The sequence below is a fragment of the Homo sapiens genome, chromosome 2 (genome assembly GCF_000001405.40).
Source record: "Homo sapiens chromosome 2, GRCh38.p14 Primary Assembly".
NCBI classification, from domain to species: Eukaryota; Metazoa; Chordata; class Mammalia; order Primates; family Hominidae; genus Homo; species Homo sapiens.
Window position 1 is genome coordinate 28,468,701 of NC_000002.12, and position 23,026 is coordinate 28,491,726.

The 23,026-nt window shown below is 48.8% G+C and overlaps 1 annotated feature.

Moving 5' to 3' along the window:
* Positions 8,513 to 8,562: an enhancer, noted in NCBI's record as "active region_15516". NCBI's record gives its function as "activates an Ori minimal core promoter by ATAC-STARR-seq in GM12878 lymphoblastoid cells {active_cell/tissue: GM12878}" and the evidence as "EXISTENCE:reporter gene assay evidence [ECO:0000049][PMID:35858748]".

Below are 23,026 nucleotides of genomic sequence, written 5' to 3' on the forward strand. Positions count from 1 at the left end.
GGATTGCATTTGAAGTAAGAGTTATCCAGGCGGGGGAGGAGGGAGGGAAGGGGGTGGTCTCTGCTGAGAAATTACCGTATGCAAAGCCTCATAAATGATGAGTGCTGGGTGCATTTAGTCTAACTGGAGTATGAGGCATAAGGGCATGGTTGGGTAGAGGGCAGGAAAGGGGGCTGGGAGATGAACCCCAGAAATGTCCTTTCCATTTGTCTGGGGGCTCCGGGAGGCTGCTGGACTGCTGATTAACTAATTCCCCAATAAGCCTTCAAGTGAGGCCCAGTCCAGCTGGACAAGAGCTCCCCTTGTCACTGTGTGTGGTGACACCTCTGATTTGCCTGGTCATTTAGTTCTTCTCTTAGGAAGAGGGCTGGATAAGGAGAGACTCTGCTCACCGCCTTGAGTGGGTTCTCTTTGCTTTGAGTTGTGTGGACTTCTGTGAGTAGACACCTACTGTCCTGGGGGAAGGACAGGCATGATGGGACGGTTTGGACCCCGTTCTCACACGTTCCTTTGCAGGTGGAGCTGGAAGGCTGCTGGGAAGGAGGTGTCAGCTGTGCAGTGGCCCTGAGCAGCCTCAGGAACCTGCCTCCTGCTTGCTGGGGACCATGATTTCTCACATCTCTAAGAGATGAAGGCAGATCCTCTGAGGTCAGCTGGTGGGAGAGAACCCTGGGGCCTTAGGAAGGAAACTCTCTGAGCCTGGGAGATGCTGATCCAGTGCCCCTGGCCTAGCCAATCAGGGCCACTCTGGGTGTGCTGGAAAGAGAGGCTTCTCTTCTCTCCCCATCCTTGGAGGGATTTTGGCTGGATACTGGCCAGCAGGCATTGCCTTAGTCATAGTGATGGCAGGGAACTGGGACAGCCCTGGCTGTGTGATTTCCACAGCCACCCCCACAGGGCCTCAATTCTTCAGTTTTCTATCCCAAGGGGACTAGTTGGAAGATCACTGACTGCTTAAACTGAGTAAGTCCCTGGGGGAAGGTGGATTTATGGAAGAGCAAATTCTTGAAAAGGGAGAGCGTGGGCTAAAGCCATGTATTTATTTACTTATTTATTCATTCAATGTTTTGTTTTTTCTTTACTTGTTTAAAAAAAAACACTTCATCTCTTTGAAAAAATAGAAATAATACAGAAATCAACAAAGCCAGAAAAATGTTCCCCCTTGCGGGAAGGGTGAGCTACACACCCTGCCCACAAATAGAATGGGAAATGTATAATTTCCTGAAAAATGGAGCTAAAGCAGGAAAATCGAAGAAGAAGAAGAGGAAGAAGAAGAAGGAGGAGGAGGAGGAGAAGAAAGAGGAGGAGGAGGGAGAAGGGGAAGTGGGATGAAGAGGAGGGGGAAGGGGAGGAGGGGGAGAAAGAGGAGGAGGAAGGGGAGGAGGAGAGGGAGGAGGGGGAGGGGGAGGAAGAGGGGGAGAAGAAAGAGGAAGAGAGCAGGAGAGGAAGAGGAGGAGGAGGAGGAGGAAGTGGGAGGATATCCTTTCAAAGTTTTTGTTCTGTGCATACAAAAATATGAACACCTTAGGCCTCTTCCCATGCCAATAGTGTAACTCCACCTGGCCTTTGGCACCATTCATTCTGTTTGCACAGCACGAGAAGAAGGTCTGTGAGGAGCAGCCTGGCTGGTGGGCAGGTTCTGTCAGTTGCACGAGCACAGCTTCTTCTTTGGCTGTTATTGGGGGTCATCTCTGCTCAGCCAGGCCTTTCCCTGTCCAAGGTCACTCTGCTGCAGGCACAGGAGGAACCAGAAAAAGGCCAAAGTGGTCTAACACACAGGGGTGAGGTGTGAGGTGAGGTGCTGGGCTGGCCTCAGGGTCGGAAGGCAGGTGCTGGCAGAGAGGCGTTTGTTGGCTTTGGGCACTTCCAGCCACAGGAAGTGTTTGTTCTTTTCAGGACAGGGGAATCCTTATTTCCATTCAACAAAAACATTTTGTATAAGACCAAAAGGGGTGCAAAGAAGAGTTCTAATTGAGAGGAGTTTGCCAGCTCTAAAGAACGTCCAATTTGGGCGCTGTCAGAGAGACTCAGAATGTTCTGAAGCTCCACAGTTGGTGAGAGGGGACCAGAAACACACCCCAATGACAGGCACTCCTGAGGACAGACCAGGAGCAGGTGCTGTGCTGAGCACTCCATATACCTGATTCATTCCATTCTCACCTCTGAGCTAGGGATCGTCCCCTCCTCTCATGAACTGGGAAAGTTTATTACTCATTGAACAGACTCAGAAGGATGTGAAGTGACTTGCCCAGGTCCACATGGTTGGAAAGTGGCCAAGCAGGAATTAAGGGCCAAGGTCTCTGACTCCAAAGTGCACCCTTATGTGCATTTTGCTCTGAGACAGGTGGGGTTCGAGGTGAATCTGGAGGGCAGGAAGGGACTTATCAGGTGAAGGCAGGAGGAAGGCCTTCCAGGCTGAAGGTGCAGCTGGAACGAAGACACAGAGGCAGCGTGGCCCTAGAACTATGTGGCGGGCTCTGAGGGAATCTTTCAGGTTAAGGCTAGAGGGAGGGCTTGGGCTCAGGATGGAGGGCCCTGAGGGTCTGGGAGAGGGGCATGTGACCCTTCCAGAAGGCCACAGGCATCATGGGTGAAGGGAAGAGGCCCAAGCTGACAGCACTGAGGAGAAGCCCGGTGATGAGGGGAGGAAGGGAAGAAGCCAATGAAGAGTGCAGGAGGAGGAGCCTGCTGGGATATGGGCGGGAGCCAGGGCGGGGGAGGATCTGCCTCCCTCATGTGGCCACCACAGTGTTCTCAGGGATGAACTGCCTAGAAAGGCTTGTCCCAGGCTGAAGGTCCAGCTGGCAGAGCCCAGGGAGAAGCCCAAGGGCACCCATCATGCCAGCGAAGAGAGCAAGAGGCCAGCTGTGAGGGTGACAGGAAGAGGGAGAAAGGAGTTTGTGAACGGTTCAGGTAGGAGATGACCCTTTATCGATTTGGTTGTGGGGATGGAGAAGGGTGAGGTGTGATAAAAGCTGCAGTGCAATGCTTGGATCCTTCCCACAGCCCCCGCCCTGGCCAGGATGTGCTGTGTGTCTGTGTATCCAGGCATCCTAGTTAGGGCTGAAGGGACCCTCCTCGGGGAACATGTTCCTACAGGATGACATCTGTCCAATGTGGTTTTGGACCTGTGGTGCTGGCTGGTCCTGGGCCCAGGTCTGTGGGCCTGGATGGAATGAAGCAGCCACACCTGTGTCACCCCATCTCTGGGAAGCCCCACCCCACCTGGTCAGACATGCCAGGCCAACCCCATACCCATCTTGTCATACCTGAGCTCCATGCCGCTGCCCCAGCTCCTCCAGCAAGGGCACATCACCCTTTCAAGGCCTCCTCCAATCTCCCCTCCCCAGGCAGCTGCCCCCAGAGTCCCACTTGCACTTGGTGCCTCTGTGTACATTTCCATGCACTTTCCTGTTATGTTTCTAGACTTTATTATTTTCTGAGTACGTTCATCTTATCTCTCCAGAGATGATGAGATCCTTGAGGGCAGGCATCACATCTTGTCTCTTTTTTGTCTTCCACATAACACCTAAAATGGGTTTGGCTCACTGAAGGCCCAACACTCACAGAATGTTGAATGAATAGGAATTTCCTTCCACCCACACATGGGCCCTGTGGCTTTGGGGGTGTGACCCCAAAACATGCCCATGGGATGTGGTGAGATATAAGTGAAGACAGGGGCCCAGGGAGGATATAAGTGAAGACAGGGGCAGGGACGTCTCCTCCATGATGGTGCTCTGGAATGATGCTCAGCAGGGGAGGGACCTTGGTGATGATCTCTTCCTCTTTACTGATGGACAAATAAAAGTCCCAGTGAGAGGTGACAGCGTGCTGGCAGCCCTGGCAGCCCTCAGCTCATTCTTGGTGCCTCCTTGGCCTTGGTGCCCACTCTGGCCACGCTTGAGGAGCCCTTCAGCCTGCCGCTGCACTGTGAGAGCCCCTTCCTGGGATGGCCGAGGCCGGAGCTGGCTCCCTCAGCCTGCAGGGAGGTGTGGAGGGAGAGGCATGGGCGGGAACCCGGGCTGCACGGCGCTTGTGGGCCAGCTAGAATTCTGGGTGGGCGTGGGCTTGGCGGGCCCCGCTGGCCCCGGGCAGTGAGGGGCTTAGCACCTGGGCCAGCAGCTGCTGTGCTCAATTTCTCTCCGGGCCTTAGCTTCCTCCCTGCAGGGCAGGGCTCGGGACATGCAGCCCGCCATGCCTGAGCCTCGCCACTCCCCCACCATGGGCTCCTGCGTGGCCTGAGCCTCCCCATCGAGCACCGCCCCTTGCTCCATGGCACCCAGTCCCATTGACCGCCCAAGGGCTGAGGAGTGTGGGCACATGGCGCGGGACTGGCAGGCAGCTCCACCTGCGGCCCCAGTGCAGGATCCACTGGGTGAAGCCAGCTGGGCTCCTGAGTCTGGTGGGGACTTGGAGAATCTTTATGTCTAGCTAAGGGATTGTAAATACACCAATCAGCACTCTATATCTAGCTCAAGGTTTGTAAACACACCAATCAGCACCCTGTGTCTAGCTCAGGGTTTGTGAATGCGCCAATCAGCACTCTGTATCTAGTTAATCTGGTGGGGACTTGGAGAACCTTTATGTCTAGTTAAGGGATTGTGAAGGCACCAATCAGCACTCTGTATCTAGCTCAAGGTTTGTAAATGCACCAATCAGCACTCTGTGTCTAGCTCAGGGTTTGTAAATACACGAATTGACACTCTGTATCTGGCTAATCTAGTGGGGACCGTGGAGAACTTTTGTGTCTAGCTCAGGGATTGTAAATGCACCAATCAGCACCCTGTCAAAACAGACCAATCAGCTCTCTGTAAAATGGACCAATCAGCAGGATGTGGGTGGGGCCAGATAAGAGAATAAAAGCAGGCTGCCCAACCCAGCAGTGGCAACCTGCTGGGGTCCCCTTCCACACTGTGGAAGCTTTGTTCTTTCGCTCTTTGCAATAAATCTTGCTACTGCTCACTCTTTGGGTCCACACTGCCTTTATGAGCTGTAACACTCACCGTGAAGGTCTGCAGCTTCACTCCTGAAGCCAGCAAGACGACGAAGCCACTGGGAGGAAGGAACAACTCCAGACATGCTGCCTTAAGAGCTGTAACACTCACCGCAAAGGTCTGCAGCTTCACTCCTGAGTCAGCGAGACCATGAACCCACCAGAAGGAAGAAACTCCGAACACATCCGAACATCAGAAGGAACAAACTCCGGACACGCCGCCTTTAAGAACTGTAACACTCACCGCGAGGGTCCGCGGCTTCATTCCTGAAGTCAGTGAGACCAAGAACCCACCAATTCCAGACACACCAGAGTGGTGGCTGGGCACATTGGCTCATGCCTATAATCCCAGCACTTTGGGAGGCCAAGGTGGGAGGGTCACATGAGACCAGGAGTTCAAGACCAGCTTGAGCAAAACATAGCAAGAGCCCATCTCTAAAAAAAAAAAATTTTTTTTAATTAGCCAGGCATGATGGTGTGTGCCTGTAGTACCAGTTACGCTGGAGGCTGAGGCGGGAGAATCACTTGAGCCCAGGCTCAAGGCTGCAGTGCGTTGATGGTGCCACTGCACTCCAGCCTGGATGACAGAGTGAGACTCTGTCTCTTAAAAAAAAAAATTCCAGATTGGAAATAGGTGCCCAGGGACACTGAGCTGAGGCTCTAGGGATCCCACTAAGGTCAGCAATTTTTATTTTATTTTTATTTATTGAGAAAACCCAATTTTCCAGGCCTCATATCCTTGACTTTTCAGCAGTATTCTCTATTTTAAAAACATACTTCTCTCCCTGACACAAACCTTTTACTTCTCCAATCAGTTTTTCCTCTGTCTGCACTGTAGGATTTTTTCTTATCTGCCCAGCTATTAAATATCATTAAGAGTTCCCCAGGCCCTTCCCTTCCCCCTTGTTCTCTCTCCTAGCAGGCTCTGCTGCCACAGCTTGAGTGACTGCATCTGACTCTTAGCCACTCTGGCCCAGAGTTCTCATCTGAGTTTCTGATCCATGGGTCTACCTGCCCCTCCGGCATCTCTTGAGTGTGTGTCCTAAAGGCACTGCATGCTGCTTGTGTCCACATCTGCATTGATGATTTCCCTCTGCATTCTTCCAAAATTCCCATGCCCAGTGATCCCTATGCAGGGAATGAAGTGCATCCATTCCAGTGCAAAGGTCAGAGATCTTTCGTTACCTACACACATCATCCATCAGTTTCACTTCCTGAACATCTCCTTACCCACTGTGTCTGGAATTGGTTCCTGCTGGTGGGTTCGTGGTCTGGCCGACTTCAAGAATGAAGCCGGGGACCTTCGCAGTGAGTGTTACAGCTCTTAAAGATGGCACAGACCCAAAGAGTGAGCGGTAGCAAGGTTTATTGTGAAGAGTGAAAGAACAAAGCTTCCACAGCATGGAAGGGGACCCAAGTGGGTTGCTGCTGCTGGCTGGGGTGGCCAGCTTTTATTCCCTTATTGTCCCCTCCTATGTTCCATTTCTGTCCTATCAGAGTGCCTTTTTTCAATCCTCCCCGTGATTGGCTACTTTTAGAATCCTTTCCCTTATTGGCCCCAAACTGGTGCTTTAGCTGCAAAGTGCTGATTGGTGTGTTTTACAGAGCGCTGATTGGTGCATTTTATGGAGTGCTGATTGGTGCATTTTACAATCCTCTTGTGAGACAGGGAAGTTCCCTAAGTCCCCACTCAACCCCGGAAGTCCAGCTGGCCTCACCTCCCACCACCTTCCTCCTTCTCCACCACCATGAGCCTCCTTCAGCTCTGGCTTGGAGAGTGACAGCCTCCTGACTGGGCTCCTGGCTCTGTCCTTATCTCCCAGCCTTCCCTTCTCCATGCAGCTATCTGTCAGCTTTTGAAAACATGAAGCAGGTCCTGTCACTTTCCCACTTACAACCCTTTACCAGCCTCTTCTTCCTCTTAGAATAAAGGCCCAGATGTTACCAAGGCCTAGGGGGCTCCTGCTGACCTCTCCTGCCTCAAGCTCCCTTCATTCTGCATTACAGCCACCTGGTCTTTCCTGGAATTCCCCAAGATCCTACTAATCACAGAGCTGTGCAAAGAGCCTAGGAGAGGCACCTGCTGGTATGTTTCCATATTATCATTTTATATTCATTTGTGAAATTCTTTGATGAATGCCTCTCTACAGTGCTTAGAATATAGAAACTTTCCTTTGCCCCATTTTAAGATTTGAGAATGCATGTGTCATGAAAGCTTCTCATCAGAGGCCCAGATCCTTCAGGTACCAGACCCCATGTATCCAGGCGGATCCCACCTGGGAGCCCAGGCAGCCCAGGGCTTCTGAAATAACAACACCTGGCCTGGCATGGTGACTCACGCCTGTAATCCCAGCACTTTGGGAGGCTGAGGCGGGTGGATCACCTGAGGTCAGGAGTTCGAGACCAGCCTGGCCAACATGGTGAAACCCTGTCTCTACTAAAAATACAAAAAAAAAAGTAGCCGGGCGTGGTGGCAGGCGCCTGTAATCCCAGCTACTTGGGAAACTGAGGCAGGAGAATTGCTCCAACCCAGGAGGTGGAGGTTGCAGTGAGCCGAGATCATGCCATTGCACTCCAGCCTGGGAGACAAGAGCGAGACTTTATCTCAAAAAATAAATAAATAAATAAATAAATAAATAAACAAAAACAAAAAAAAAACAAAACAAACAGAAATAGCAACACCTGATAGCATGTCCCTTCAGAGACCCTGCCCCAGCCATGAGGTCAGTGGCCATACCTGGCGTATGGAATACAAGTTCCATGAGGTCAGTGGCCACGCCTGGCATATAGAATATAAGTTCTTTGAGGTCAGTGGGCACACCTGGCATATGGAAGTGGCACAGTAAACATGTGTTGACCTCAGGCTCCTCTCAGGGAGGATGCCTCTGGGTTCAGGTCACTGAGTTTTGCAGGGGAGGTGCATATTGTCCTTGAGTGCCGGGTAAGGTTTGGGCACCTGGAGCACCAGGGGTCAGTGAGAGGGAGGCGAGAGGGCCTGGAACACAAGGCTCCAGGGAGGTGATGGCCACAGGGGAAGGGAAGAAATGCTGATTGAGGACTGGGCCTTGAATTGGGGAAAGAATTGTTTTATTTGCCACCCATATGAGAAAGGAGGAGGGGAGAGGCCTGCAGGAAAGGAGAGTCCACCTTGAGGATTTATTGCAAGGTGAGTGGCCCTATGTTCTCTGTAAATCACTACTACACACTTGGGACTGAGGCACATCGTTTTTAAGACATCTGCTGACTTGGACAATTATAGGGAGCCTTGAGGTCTTTTAGCAGGTGGGGTCTAACTGGCAGAAGCAACTGAGAGGCTCAAGGAGAGGAGAAGGCTTCTCCTCTGCGCTGTGCCCAGCATGGCTGGGACAGGGTCCCTGAGCCCCCAGCGGACATGCTATCAGGTGTTGCTATTTCAGAAGCCCTTGGGCTGCCTGGGTTCCTAAGTGGGATCCACCTGGATACATGGGGTCTGGTACCTGGAGGATCCAGGCCTCTGATGAGAAGCTTTCATGACACATGCATTCTCAAATCTTAAAATGGGGCAAGGGAAAGTTTCAGATCAGACAAGCTGGGCTGCAGCATGAAACCAAAAGAGATAGAGAGAGGCCCCAGGCTTAATGCCTGGTGGAGGCTCAGTCATGTCTGTTGAAACCTAGGATATTCATCTATGTAGGCAGATAGGAAACACAGGTGACCACCTTCCCAAACAAGCTGGGCACATGACAGAAGCAGAAAGCACCTTATCCTCTCCAGCAAACCATTCTTCGGACCCATTCTGCCCCGCAGAAAAACCCCAGGCAGCTCCCATCCTTTTCTGACCACTCTCATGTAATAAAATATCTAGCCCCATGTGATGTCAAACCTCAAGCTCTGTTCCATTGAAAATGTCTCTGCCAAGCCCATTCAGGCTGGGGAAGCTGCAAGGGCAGAGAACTGTCTCCTTCTCTTACTTCTCTGTTCACCTTTTCTCCCCAGGCTGCTCCAGGGGTGGAGGAGACAGGAAGAAAGCAGAGGGAGGCCAGGAAGGGCTAGCTTGACCTTTTGCAGCTGTATCTGGCATTAGTGCCCTTGGACATGGCAGATTGCAGAGTTAGTTCTGCCCTAGGAGTCTGTGGTTGCTCTGAAGCCTCTCGAATTGCTGAGGCTTCAGTCAACAGACGTGGCTGCCTCCTTGGCCTGGCCACATAAGATCTCTCAGGCTCCCATCAGCCCTCACCTCACCCCTTCTGAGTCTGCTTCTGCAGGTTCTGTATCTGGCCCCCACGCCCATCCCTGCTCCCCTAAACCCTGGAGGCACAGGCTCTTCTAAGACAGCCCCTCTTTACCCAGCCACTCCCTCTCACACAGGGGCTTTTTCAAGGGTGGGTCGGTCAATCCGTTCCTGTGTTCCTCAAATTTCAGGGGATGCCTGACACATTCTTTGATATCCCCTACAGCCCATTGATCACTTCCCTTCAGAGAAATCCTCACCATGTGCCCCATGCCCCTTCAGTCTCCCAAAGAGTTGGAGGTGGGTGATAGACTGAGGATGGCATGATTGATTTCACAGACCCTTACTCAAGTAGCACAGTGGTCCTGCATCCCAACTTAGGAAACAGTGTGTTTGGCACCTTCTGAATTGCTCTAGGACTTTAGGGGCTCTGCCCAGACAACAGGAAGAGTTACTTTTATCCTTCTATTTCATGAACATCATAAAAGGCAAGGAGGTGTAAAAAAGTGAGGGCAGGAGAGTTAGGCAAGTCCAGGAGAGAGTTCAGAGCAGGACAGGAGTCAATAGAAGTTGTTGAGAAGGAAGAGGGGCCAATGGGAGCCGTAGAGAGGACACTAAGCTGATATTTACATGGCACTTTGGCCCTGCGAAGGGTCTTACATCATCTCATTGAGATATTCAAAAATACTGGGGGAAGGATATTATTCCCATTTTAGCAATGAGAAAACTGAAGCCCCCCACAGGGCAAATGATTCATAGTATAAATAGCAGAATTGGGATGTCAGCCAAGTCAATATATCACCCAATCACCTAGAAAGTTCCAACTGTTCTCTTACCTCCTTAAAAAATGTCTAGTTATTCAAGCAGTACTGGAATACATCCTTGAAGCAAAATATGTATAGACAACTTTTTTTTTTTTGAGATGGAATCCCACTCTTGTTGCCCAGGCTGGAGTGCCGTGGCACAATCTCAGCTCACTGCTACCTGCGCCTCTCAGGTTCAAGCAATTCTCATGCCTCATCCTCCCGAGTAGCTGGGATTACAGGCACCCGCCACCACGCCCGGCTAATTTTTGTATTTTTAGTAGAGGCGGGATTTCACCATGTTGGCCAGGCTTGTCTTGAACTCCTGACCTCAGCTGATCCACCCGCCTTGACCTCCCAAAGTGCTGGGATTACAGGCGTAAGCCACTGAGCCCAGCCTGTATAGACAACTTTAATAAGGCTAAAGACCTTTAGACCGCCAATCCCCAAGCAGAGGTAACCTGGTAACCACTTATATGACTTTTTAATATCCTTATAAGCCTTTTCTTCTATATGTATTACATATGCACACACACATACACACATGCATATGTAGTTTCCCATAGAAAAATATAGTATTTGATTGGTATCTCACTGTTCTTACCTGTCAGCTTCTTAGTTTTTTCACTCAACATTATATTAGGTTGGTGCAAAAGTAATTGCAGTTTTTTTTGCCATTAAAGTAATGCTGCAATTACTTATGCACCAACCTAATAATCCTGAAAAGCTTTGTGAATCTGTGTGGCTCCACCTCATTCTTCTTCATTCCTGTGTATCCTATAGTGTGGCTATTCCACAGCTTATTAGGACACTCTCTGATGATGGACAATGAAATAGTTCCCAGTATTTCAAAGCACAATGTATTGTTTAAAGAACAGGAACATTGGCCGGGTACGGTGGTTCACGCCTGTAATCCCAGCTCTTTGGGAGGCTGAGGTGGGTGGATCACCTGAGGTCAGGAGTTCAAGACCAGCCTGGCCAATATGACAAAACCCTGTCTCTACTAAAAATACAAAAATTAACCGAGCCATGGTGATGTGCACCTGACCTGTAATCCCAGCTACTCAGGAGGCTGAGGCAGGAGAATCGCTTGAACCCAGGAGGCAGAGGTTGCAGTGAGCCGAGATCGTGCCACTGCACTCCAGCCTGGCGACAACGGAAAGAGACTCCATCTCAAAAACAAACAAAAAACCAAAAAACAGGAACGTTGCAGAATCCTGTGTGCCTGTCTCATTGCTCAAGAGGGGCTTAGATGAGTCCTGCTTGATAATGAGAAGCAACCAAAGGTGGGAGGGTGGGGAATGCCCCCAAACCATCCCAAGATGGGGCTGGCTGGAATTCCCGAGAAAGAAGCACTAGCCAGGCAGTCTGAGTATGGGAGTTTATACGAAGATTTAAGGAATTTGGCTTAAGGCTGGGGCCAGTTTCTTTCAGTGTTTTAGGCAACAAGCTAGATACCTTCATCAGTGCCTGGAAATGTTCAAGGCCAAAGTTTGGGTTCAAGCCTGCTGGGAAAACCTGCAGCTGGCTGTGTCATAGAGCAGTCAAGGTGTGGCTGTGACTTTTGGCCAGGACATGGAAAGAAAGCAATGGGAACTGGGGGACCCTACATGATGTTCTGACCAATGTGTGAATTCATTGGCAGAAATCTGGTGTATTAGTCAGTCTTCATGCTGCTGATAAAGACATACCCAAGACTGGGTGATTTAGAAAGAAAAGGAAGTTTAATGGACTCATAGTTCCACGTGGCTGGGGAGGCTTCACAATCGTGGTGGAAGGTGAAAGGCAAGTCTTGCATGGCAGCTGGCAAGAGAGAATGAGAACCAAGTGAAAGGGGTTTCCTTGTATGAAACCATCAGATCTCGTGAAACTTATTCACTATCATAAGAACAGTATGGGGGAAACCACACCATGATTCAGTTATCTCCCACCAGGCCCCTCCCACAACACATGGGAATTATGGGAGCTACAATTCAAGATGAGATTTGGGTGGGGACACAGGCAAACCATATCATTTGGCAAGCCTGGATTATAGGCCTCTGGGAGATTCTGAATTCAAGGGGTGTGTCTGCCTTGTCAGTATTCAGGGAAATCTTTGACAATAGCTCTTAGATTAGGGCTCTATGGTAGAAGGCATGTCTGATTCACAAACGGTGGTTTTAAACATTATTATTGTGGTAAATACACATAACATGAAAGTTACCATCTTAACCAATTTTACATGTGCAGTTCAGTGGCCTTTAATGCATTCAAAATGTGCAAACACCACTAGCGTTCATCTCTGTAACTCTTTTCATCTTGTAAAAATGACACTCTACAGCCATTAAACAGTAACTCTCCTTTCCTGCCTCCCTCCAGTCCCTGGCCACCACCATTCTACTTTCCGTCACTACAATTTTGACTATTCTGAGTGCCTCATATAAGTGGAATCATATAGGATTTGTCCTTTTGTGACTGGATCATTTCACTCAGCATAATGTCCTCAAGATTCATCCACGTTGGCCAGGCACAGTGGCTCATGCCTGTAATCCCAGCACTTTTGGAGGCCAGGGCAGGAGGATTGCTTGAGCCCAGGAATTTGAGACCAGCCTGGACTTGAATATAGTGAGACTCTGTCTCCATAAAAAATAAAAAAATAAGAATTAGCTGAGTATAGTGGTTGTCACGCGTGTCCGTGTGATGAGACCACCAAACAGGCTTTATGTGAGCAACAAGGCTATTTATTTCACCTGGGTGCAGGTGGGCTGAGTCCGAAAAGAGAGTCAGCAAAGAGTGGTGGGATTATCATTAGTTCTTATAGGTTTTGGGATAGGCAGTGGAGTTAGGAGCGCTGTTTTGCAGGCAGGGGATGGATCTCACAAAGTACATTCTCAAGGGTGGGGAGAATTACAAAGAACCTTCTTAAGGGTGGGGGAGATTACAAAGTACATTGATCAGTTAGGGTGGGGCAGAAACAAATCACAATGGTGGAATGTCATCAGTTAAGGCTATTTTCACTTCTTTTGTGGATCTTCAGATGCTTCAGGCCATCTGGATGTATACGTGCAGGTCACAGGGGATATGATGGCTTAGCTTGGGCTCAGAGGCCTGACCGTGGTGTGTGCTTGTAGTCCCAGCTACTTGGGTGGTTGAGGTAGGAGGATCGTTTGAGCCTGAGAAGTCAAGGCTGTAGTGAGCAGTGATTGCACCACTGCACTTCAGCCTAGGCAACAGGGCCATATCCTGTTAAAAATAAAGATAAAAAAAGATTCATCCATATTGTAGCATATGTCAGAATTTCCTTCCTTTTAAAGACTGAATAATATTCAATTGCATGTCTATACCACATTTTGCTTATCTAGTCATCAGTCAGTGGACACTTGGGTTGCTTCCGTGTTTTAGTCGTTGTGAATAATGCCGCTATGAATGTAGGAGTGCACATATCTCTTCAACACCGTGCTTTCAATTCCTTTGGATAAATACACAGAGCTAGAATTGCTGGTTGACATGATCATTCTATTTTTAACATTTTGAGGAACCACTGTACTGTTTTCCACAGTAGCTGTGCCATTTTATATGCCTATCAATAATGTACAAGGGTTCCAATTTCTCCACACCCTCCCCAACATCTATTTTCTGCTTTTTTTAAAAAAAGAGTAGCCATCAACTGGGTGTGAGGTAGTATCTCATTGTAGTTTTGATGCACATTTTTCTAGTGATAAGTGGTGTTAAGCATCTTTTCATGTGCTTATTGACCATTTGCATATCTTCCTTGGAGAAATGTTTATCCAAGTCCTTAGCTCATTACTGAGTTGGGTTGTTTTGTTGTTGTTGAGTCTTAGGCATCCTGTGTATATTCTGGATATCAATCCCTTATCAGATATATAATTTGCAAATATTTTCTCCCATTGCATAGATTGCCTTTTCATTCTATTGATAGTGTCTTTTGATGCACAAAACTTTTAAATTTTCATGAAGTCCAATTTGTCTATTTTTTCCTTATTTCCTGTCTGTTAGTGTCATATTCAAGAAATCACTGCCAAATCCAATGTCATAAAACTTTTGCCCTATGCTTTCTCCTAAAAGTTTTAGAGTTTTTGGTCTTACATTTAGGTCTTTGATCCATTTCGAGTTCATTTTTGTATATGGCATTAGGTAAGGGCCCAGCTTCGTTCGTTTGCATGAGATATTCAGTTTTCCCAGCATTATTTGTTGAAAAGACTGTCCTTTCCTCCATTGAATGGTCTTGCACCCTTGCTGAAAACCATTTAACTATATATGAGAGGGTTTGTTTCTGGACTGTGTATCCTATTCTATTGGTCTATGTGTCTGTCTTTATGCCAGTACCACAGTGTTCTGACTACTATAGCTTCGTAGTAAGCTTTGAAATCAGTAAGTGTGAGTTCTCTAGCTTTGTTCTTTATTTCCAACATTGTTTTGGTTATTCGGGGTCGTCAATAAGATGTAATATTTAGACAAGACCAGCCTGGCCAACATGGCAAAACCCCGCGTCTACCTAAAATACAAAATTAGCCAGGTGTGGTGGTGCGCACCTGTTATCCCAGCTATTTGGGAGGCTGAAGCAGGAGAATCGCTTGAACCCAGGAAATGGTGGTTGCAGTGAGTGGAGATTGCACCACTGCACTCCAGCCTGGGCAACAAAATGAGTGAGACCCCGTCTCAAAAAAAAAAAAAAACAACAAAAAAAACTGTGCTACTTGGGCCAGGGGAATTTTATTCTTTTGTTTTAAGGCACCTCTCAAATGAGCAGTTTGAATGAAATTAAATGTTCCCCAAAGTGTGCATTGAATGCCAAAACATCCTTGGTGAAATTCTGCCATTTAGAGAGATAGAAGTTATGGTGGTCATGTGGATACCTGTAAGAAGCGGAGTTTTTTGCAGAGGGGGAGGTTAGATTGGGAAGACTCCTGGTTACTGCAGTTGAAAGTTACAGTCAGCTGAAGGTGTTTAGACAACTTAGTGTCTTGGGCCCCTGACCTAATGGTCAGCCCCTCAGAATTTAGACCCAACAGTCTTGAGTCCCTAGCAGGTGGAATGTGTCAGAAGGAATGTGCTCTCTGAATCCAAACAAGGCTCTCAGGACAAATAGCCAAGATGGGAAAATAATCTCATCAGGTGTTATTGGTCACCCACAGCAAAGTTTGTTCTTAGAGGATGTTGGTCTGGAGGGAACTGCAAACTTTCTAGTCTGTAAGGCTGTCTCAAACAGCCAAATTATAGGAACTATGCCTGTGTTCTACTCTAAATTCTTCCTTCTCATAATTAAATAACACTTAAGGGCTGGGCGCAGTGGCTCACGCCTGTAACCCTAGCACTTTTGGAGGCTGAGGCGGGTGGATCACCTGAGATCACGAGTTCAAGACCAGTCTGGTCAACATGGTGAAACCCTGTCTCTACTAAAAATACAAAAAATTAGCCAGATGTGGTAGCAGGAGGCTGTAATCCCAGCTACTCAGGAGGCTGAGGCAGGAGAATTGCTTGAACCCAGGAGGCGGAGGTTGCAGTGAGCTGAGATCATGCCATTGCACTCCAGCCTGGGCAAGAGTGAGACTCTGTCTCAAAAAAAAATTTTTTTTAAATAAATAAACAAATAAATAACACTTAAGGACACAGGAAAAAACAAGGGACAGGTGGAAGCAAATCACCAAGGATGCAGCTCCAAAGGGAAACATTAACCAAATATAAATAACTGGATTTTACAAGTAAATAAAACAGCCACGGAACTCAGCACAAAGAGCATGGAGTTGGCCAGGCACAGTGGCCAACCTGCAATCCTAGCATTTTGGGAGGCTGAGGCAGGCAGATAGCTTGAGCCCAGGAGTTCAAGACTAGTCTGGGCAATATGGTGGAAACCTGTCTCTACCAAAAAAAAGAAAAAAGCCAAGTATGGTGGCATGTGCCTGTAGTCCCAGCTACTAGGGAGGCTGAGGTGGGAGGATCACTTGAGCCTCGGAGGTGAGGGTTGCAGTGAGCCATGATTGTGCCACTGGACTCCAGCCTCTGTGACAGAGCAAGGCCCTGTCTCAAAAAAAACAAAAAACAAAAAACAAACAAAAAACCAGAGAGATAATGGAGCTGAGGCCCAGGGCAGGTTTACTTGTCAGTGTGTGGTTCAAGGGGCCTTGGTGGGCTCCCACCTGATTAAGAGCCAAGGTCCACAGCGATGAGCAGGTCAGGTGGGATCCGAGTCATGGCACCAAGATTACAGTCAAAAATAAAACTAAACCCAAGGCAAAATTAGCAAAGACTACTTATTTATAAACTTGCATCCGCAAAGAAACATCTGCAGTCATTTTGGTTTCAGCAGGGGTTCAAAGGTATCTGAAAGAAGAGTAAGTTTCTTAGAGAAAAAAGAGGAAATACTAAGGCAGTCTCTGATTGGCAGGTGTTCTATTGGGATGGAGTTTTGAAAGTGAGGGAGACCCTAATTGACCTTTCAAAACATTTGACAGTCCTTGATTGGTTCACTAGCCTTATTTACATGACTGGAAAAATTTCAGATTTTCTTGGTTTTTAGGAGGACTATTTAAAGAGATTTATCAACTCTGCAGGATGGGAGGTAAGAACGAGGGGCAGAATTCTGGCCATGGAGAGGCCAAGTAGGTCTCCCTTTGTGCAGCAATATATTGTTCTTAGTCCCAAGAGTGCAGTTTTTGGGACACAGTTTCCTACCATGTGCAAAGCCACCATACTGGGGACTGTGCAAAGTCACCATACTGGGGACTGTGCAGGCAGTTAGAGATGAATAAAACATGGGCTATACCCATTCCAGCAGAGGATGCAGCCCCAGTTGGCTGATTTTTGGATCCCCAACAAGGTGAAATAAGTTATGCAATGAAGCTATAAGCAAACTGCCAGAGAGAAAAGGAGTTAAGCCACTGTGACACAAAACTTAATTCAGTTCACGAGGGCCCTGGGGGAGTGACTGAAGTGGGTCTGGATTTTATTCATCTATGCAGCAATTATTGAGCACTTACAGATACCAGGCTCTGTGCTAAGTGCTGGGGACACAGCAGTGAACTACATGGTCCTTGCCCTCCTGGAATTTACCATCGGACAGACAGGATAGACTTTATTTATTTGTATTTATTTATCTTATTTATTTATTTTAAAAGATGGGGGTCTTGCTCTGTCCCAGGCTGGAGTGAAGCAACCCGATCATAGCTCACTGTAGCCCCGAACTCCTGGGCTCAAGCAATCCTCCTGCCTCAGCCTCCTGAGTAGCTGCGACCTCAGGCACACAACACCACGCCTGGCTAATTTTTGTATTTTTTGTAGAGATGGGGTCTTGCTATGTTGCCTGGGCTGATCTTGAACTCTTGGGCTCAAGCGATCCTCCCACCTTGGCCTCCCAAAGTGCTAGGATTACAGGTGTGAGCCACCACACCTGGCAGGATAGACTTTACAGAAGCAATTAAAAGCACACTGAGTATTGGAGGAGAAGTGCAGGGGGCCAGAGGAGCATGAGGTCAGGGCATCTCTTTCACTAGGCCAGAGAAGGCCCATTGTAGGAAGAAATATTTCAACTGAGACCAGAAGGAGAATTAGGGAGGTCAAGAGGTGGGAAGGGTACTGACACAGTCTGAGAGTTCTGGGCAGAGGGAACAGCACACATTAGGGCTGCCAGGATGCAAAAAGGATGACATTTTTAAGAATATGATGGAGCCTCAGTGAGCCTGAGGTCAGAGAAGATGGGCCAAGTGGGACTTGAAGCTGGAGAGAGGAGGGAGCACAGGGCCTTGTAAGTGACACTACAATGGCTGGACTTGATCTGCAGGGCAGTGGGAAGCTGGTGAGGGTTTTATACAAGGGTGTGACATCAGGTTTGCCCTTTGACAAGATTGTTCAGGCTGTTGTGTGTGAAAACGAAAAGACTGGAACAAGCGTGTGTAGACATGGAGCAGCTGGGCAGCTGTTCAGGGGAGCAGGGACAGATGCCTGGGCCCATCTGGGGGCAGTGGAGATGGAGAACAGTGAGTGGTTTCATGAGCCACTTTTGTCATATCCGATGGGGCTACAAATGAGTCAGGGAAGATCATATGTTTGGTTCTTAACTCCTTGAGTTTGAGGTGCCTCTGAAACATCAAAGTGGAGACTTAGTCCATGAATGAGTTTATGGGGTTTGAAGCTTAGAAGAGAGGTCCGACTGGAAATTGAAATGGGGGAATGGTCAACATAGATTTTTAAGTAAACAATGGGGTGTATGTGGTCACCTTGAGAGACAGGTAGAAAGAGGAGGCTCCAGACGAACTTCAGCAGCAGAGAAGGAGCTGGCAAAGGAGGCCAAGAAGGAACTGCTGGAGAGAAGAAACCAGGAAACTGGAAGCCTGGAGGCCAAGGGCAAGTTGTCCAAGAGTAGGGGCCGAGGTTGGCTGTGAAATGCTGCTGAGATGGCAAGTAAGATGAGGTCTGAGGACCTCATTGTTTATTGGATTGAACAAATTACTGACCTTCAAGCAATTCTAGTAGTGTGGTGGGAGCAGAAGCCACATTGAAGGGTAGGGACAAGTAAGCAGAAGGTGTTTTAGAAAGGTCACCCTGGTGATGGATGCTGACCCGGAAGGGATTGTACACAAATTCAGGTAAGAAATGTTAAGGTGCACAGAACTCAGAGTCTCAGGATGACTAAGGAAACATGGATCTCAAGGTCAACAGAGAGGAACAATTGGAAACTTGGTCTGAGCAGCTCTGTCTCAGAAGCAAAGAAGAAAGTGAGTAGGAGGTAGAAGGAGGCATCCAGGCTTCCCACAGAGACCACGCTGAGATTCCAGCCACTCTCTGGAGAGCCGTGTCCCTGGATGCTCCTCCTCCCACATACTCCTAGAAGGCCTCTGAGAGTCAGTTAAGGACCATACCCAACTGAACAAAAGTGATGCGGTGTTGTGTCTTGGGTTAAGAGACACAAGTTTTTGCTGCACAAAAACTGGATTGAAAATCTGGCTTTCCCACCCGCTCTCTGTGTGGCAAGTTTCTAAACATTTTTGTGGATTATAAGACAGAGTCTGTTTCAGAAAGATTGTACTATGAAAATATGCAGGGATTAGAATGGAGAAGATGTGGAATTTGAAAATTCTGTTTCCTCAAGTTTTCTCTTTGGGTGCTAACCTTGCAGTTACAAACAAAGCCCTTACCGAATCCATGAAGGAAGAGAGGAACAGGGCATGGCGGCTCATGCCTGTAATCCTAACACTTTGGGAGGCTGAGGTGGGTGGATGGTTTGAGCACAGGAGTTCGAGATCAGTCTGGGCAACATGGTGAAACCCCGTCTCTATAAAAAATACAAAAATTAGCCTGGCATGGTAGCACACACCTGTGGTCCCAGGTACTTTGGAGGTTGAGGTGGGAGGATGGATTGAACCCAGGAGGCAGAGGTTGCAGTGAGCCAAGTGAGCCAAGATTGAGCCACTGCACCCTAGCCTGGGTGACAGAATGAGACCCTGTCTCAAAAAGAAGAACGAGAAGGAGGAGGAGAAGGAGGAGAAGGAGGGGGAGGGGAGGGGGAGGGGAGGGGGAGGAGGGGAAGGAACAGGAGGCTGCAATGTCAGCTAGTGGTGCCCAGAGGCAGAGGTGGTAGGCAGTCCCTCAGGATGGAGCCAGCTGAGATGGTAAACTCAGGGCTGTGCCCAGTCCAGCTCGATGTCCCTATGGCTGGAGGTCAGCACAGATCTCTCTACCTAGCCAGGCCTAGTGGCCAGTCTGCATCAGGGCCCTGGGGACAGACGCCAGTCCCAGTCTCACCTCATCTTCTCCTGCCTACTCTTATACCACCACCCTCTCCCCAGGGAGTGCCATCAAGGTAAATAGTGGGACTGCGTAGCTGGGAGAGCAAGCAAGCTTGCACATCATTGCCAAAGCTATTAACACCCACGTGCCAGTGTCTGATGATGTTGACAGCTCAGCCCCAACAAGCTGATGACACCATGCCATGCCATCCCATGCCACGCCACCTCAATCCCCTGTTACACAGCCAAAGGCTCAGAGGCCCATTCCAGAGTGACTGCAGTGAGGATAAAGAGATTTCCCCAGCTGGTAAGTTGCCATGGCTGGGGCTAGAAAGGCTGTCTTTCCTCCCTGGACCCCTTGTCCAGTGGAAGCTTTTCTGGGCAGATGATCTCCTCTGAACACAGGCCAGGGGGATATATGGGGTCAGTGCCTGATGCTTGGGGCTGTTGGAGCCAGGAGCCTCCCATTGTGGTCTGGAGCACATGAGATTCCCAGGGAAAGACTAGGAGCCTTTGGTTATTTCTTTTGGATTTGAAGGACAGATTATAGCTCCCATGGACAGAATGCAAAGGGAATTAAGTGAGGGAAAGATTAGCCCCATAGCAGGTGGTCCTACAGGATCCCCCTGGTGGGCAGAGCATCAAATTTCACAACACTTCTCTCCCCAGAGCCATCTCCTGGCCCTGCCACGTGGGACCAGGACACAGGGGATTTCAGCTCTAAAAGATCCAGGGAAGTTTCTCCCATGTACCAGGACCCAGCAGCCATACTAGCCTGTCTCCATGGGACCCCCCTCCCCAGAATGGAGATGGAGTGGACATGGGTTTTATGCGGTATCTGCTAGCACAGGGTCTGTATTGAGTCTCCATGGCTTGAACTTGGCCACTCCCTGGCTGTGGTACAGAGGAAAGGGTTCTGGCCTCTGCCTTAGTCGCAGAGCAGCCTTAGGCAACTTACTAATCCTCTTGGGGTTGTCTTATCAGTCAGACTGGAGTAGAAATACCACTGCTGCTCATGGCCATGGTGATCCAGTCTTGTATCATGAGTGGGAAAGAACACTGGGCTTGGATCAGGGAACCCAAAACCCAGTACAGGCCCTTGCCTGCCTCTTTCCTTGCCTCAGTGTCCTCCTCTGTACGATGGGAAGAGGACTGGACTAGGTGGCTGTTAAGGTCCAGGTGCTCACTGACCAGTTCTGACCTAGTCCCAGTTGCTTTCCTGCCACTGGGTGGGATTCTCCCCAAGAAGGGGAGAAGGAAGGGGCACACTCGGACATCCACAAGCTCGGATGGATGGGAGAATCCCGTTTGGGTCTCTGGTCCTTCTGAGATGGTACTAAGGGGGACGCTCTTCGGGTGCCTTCTGCTAGGACAAATGGTGCTTCCTCCACAGGGTAGTGGGGGCCCTGTGGCCCAGGCTGTATGATGATTGCAGTGGCTGCTCTACTCAGACTCAGAGTCCAGGAGAGAAGGGCCTATTGTCCAGACTCTCCTAAAAAGTGGGTGCATGAGCTGAGGGCTGCTCCTTGCTGGCTCAGAATCAAGAGCCTTCCCGGCTTCATCCTGCGGGTGTTCAGGACATTTCACAGGTGCAGCTCACAGTCACGCTGGGGACACATTAATGGATGCAGGGAGAAGACTTGGATCAGAGCCTCCTTTTAAACTTACTAGTTGGGTGATCTTAGTTGAGACTCTTAACGCCCTGAGGAATGTAGCTGGTATTAAATGAGACAACATTTATAAATTCGAATAACAAGATGCCTGGCACCTACTAGGTGCTCAACAAATGGTATTTAAATTTGGACCTGGATTGTAGGAGCTCCCGTGGGTTACAGATGGCCAAAGATGTTGACCCTCCGGGCCCTTCAGGACTGCCAGGAGGGGCTTGGGGCTGTTTAGGACCTCTAGCTGATCATCTCAGGCCAAAGACTGCCTTCTCTGGTTTCCTTCTGTGCTCTTCAAAGATCACCATCTTCCGTGAGTTGGGAGGAGTACAGGTTGGGAAGCAAAGCACTAATAAAGTTCCCAGTCATTGCTAAAAGGGCTCTGGGGGTCTAGGAGGCCCTGAGTCTGAAATGGTAAGAGGGAGAGGAGAAAGAAAGGGACCAAAAGGCAGAGTAACCGTGTGGCTTGGAGGATGCCTGGGCTTCCCATCACATTGCCACTGCCACGGTGGGGAAGGGATGAGATGAGCTTACACCGCATTCAAAAGAATGGAATCCATGCTGCCAGTCTCACAGCTGAGGAAACAGAGGCATAAGGAAGAGGAAATGACTGCGGGTGATCATAGGCATCACCGTGGATCTGGGACTCCAGCCCACACATCCTGGTGCTCAGTGACGGGCCTTCCTCAGGCACCAGAAACCAGCCCTTTCCCGCCTACTCCCTGACCTCTCAGAGAGAAGTCCTAGCACTTTACCCAGTGTCTTTTCCATGGGTTTCCCATCTGGAGAGGCTGCCAGGTCAGCCTGATTTTGTCAGCGCTGAGTAGCCTGTCCTGGCATCCTGCTATGTCCAGTGAACCTTTGCCTTGTCCGAGACAGCAGACATGGAGCCCTCTTGTCCCTCACTGCTGGGCACTAGGCAGGTCCCTGAGAGCTCTGGCTCTACTGGAACAGTGGTTCTAGCCCTAACTGCACATCAGAATCTATTGATGAACTTTAAAAAGGATCAATGCCCATGTCCCACCCTGGACCAACTAAATCAGAATCTCTGAGAGTGAAGCCTGGGCACGAGTATTCTTTTAAAAAGTTCCCCAGGTGGTTCCAGTGTGCAGCCAGGATTGAGAACCACTATGTGGAAGAATAATGCTGTGGCCTTGGGGAAGAGCTTGACCCATGAATCCCCATGTTACTTCTCCATTGTCTGTTCCCATCATGCTTCATGGTATTGGGCAATGTACCTCTCTTTTTCCTCAGCTTTCTATCCTAAAATATGCTTTTATTCCTTTTTACATCCTACTCTGCTGATCTGATCTTTTTATAGTGGTCTTGATCTCTTTCCTTTTATTCTGAGTTTCATTTATTTATTTATTCATCCAACATCCAACAAATGTCTGCTATGGCAGGCAGTATGCTAGGTGCTGGGAACATAGCAAAGAACAAGACAGGCCAGGTCCCTTCCCTCATGGAGGGTGCATTCTGCTGGGATTTGCCCTGTCAGTGTTTCTGTTTTTATTAATAAGGCTGTGATATTTGAAAACTGTATTTTTTTCTAGAAATATATTACTAGTACCTTCTTCATTTTATCTCTTCTTTTTTCATCCCTTAATTAAGCTCTTCTTGTCTTTAGTATCTCG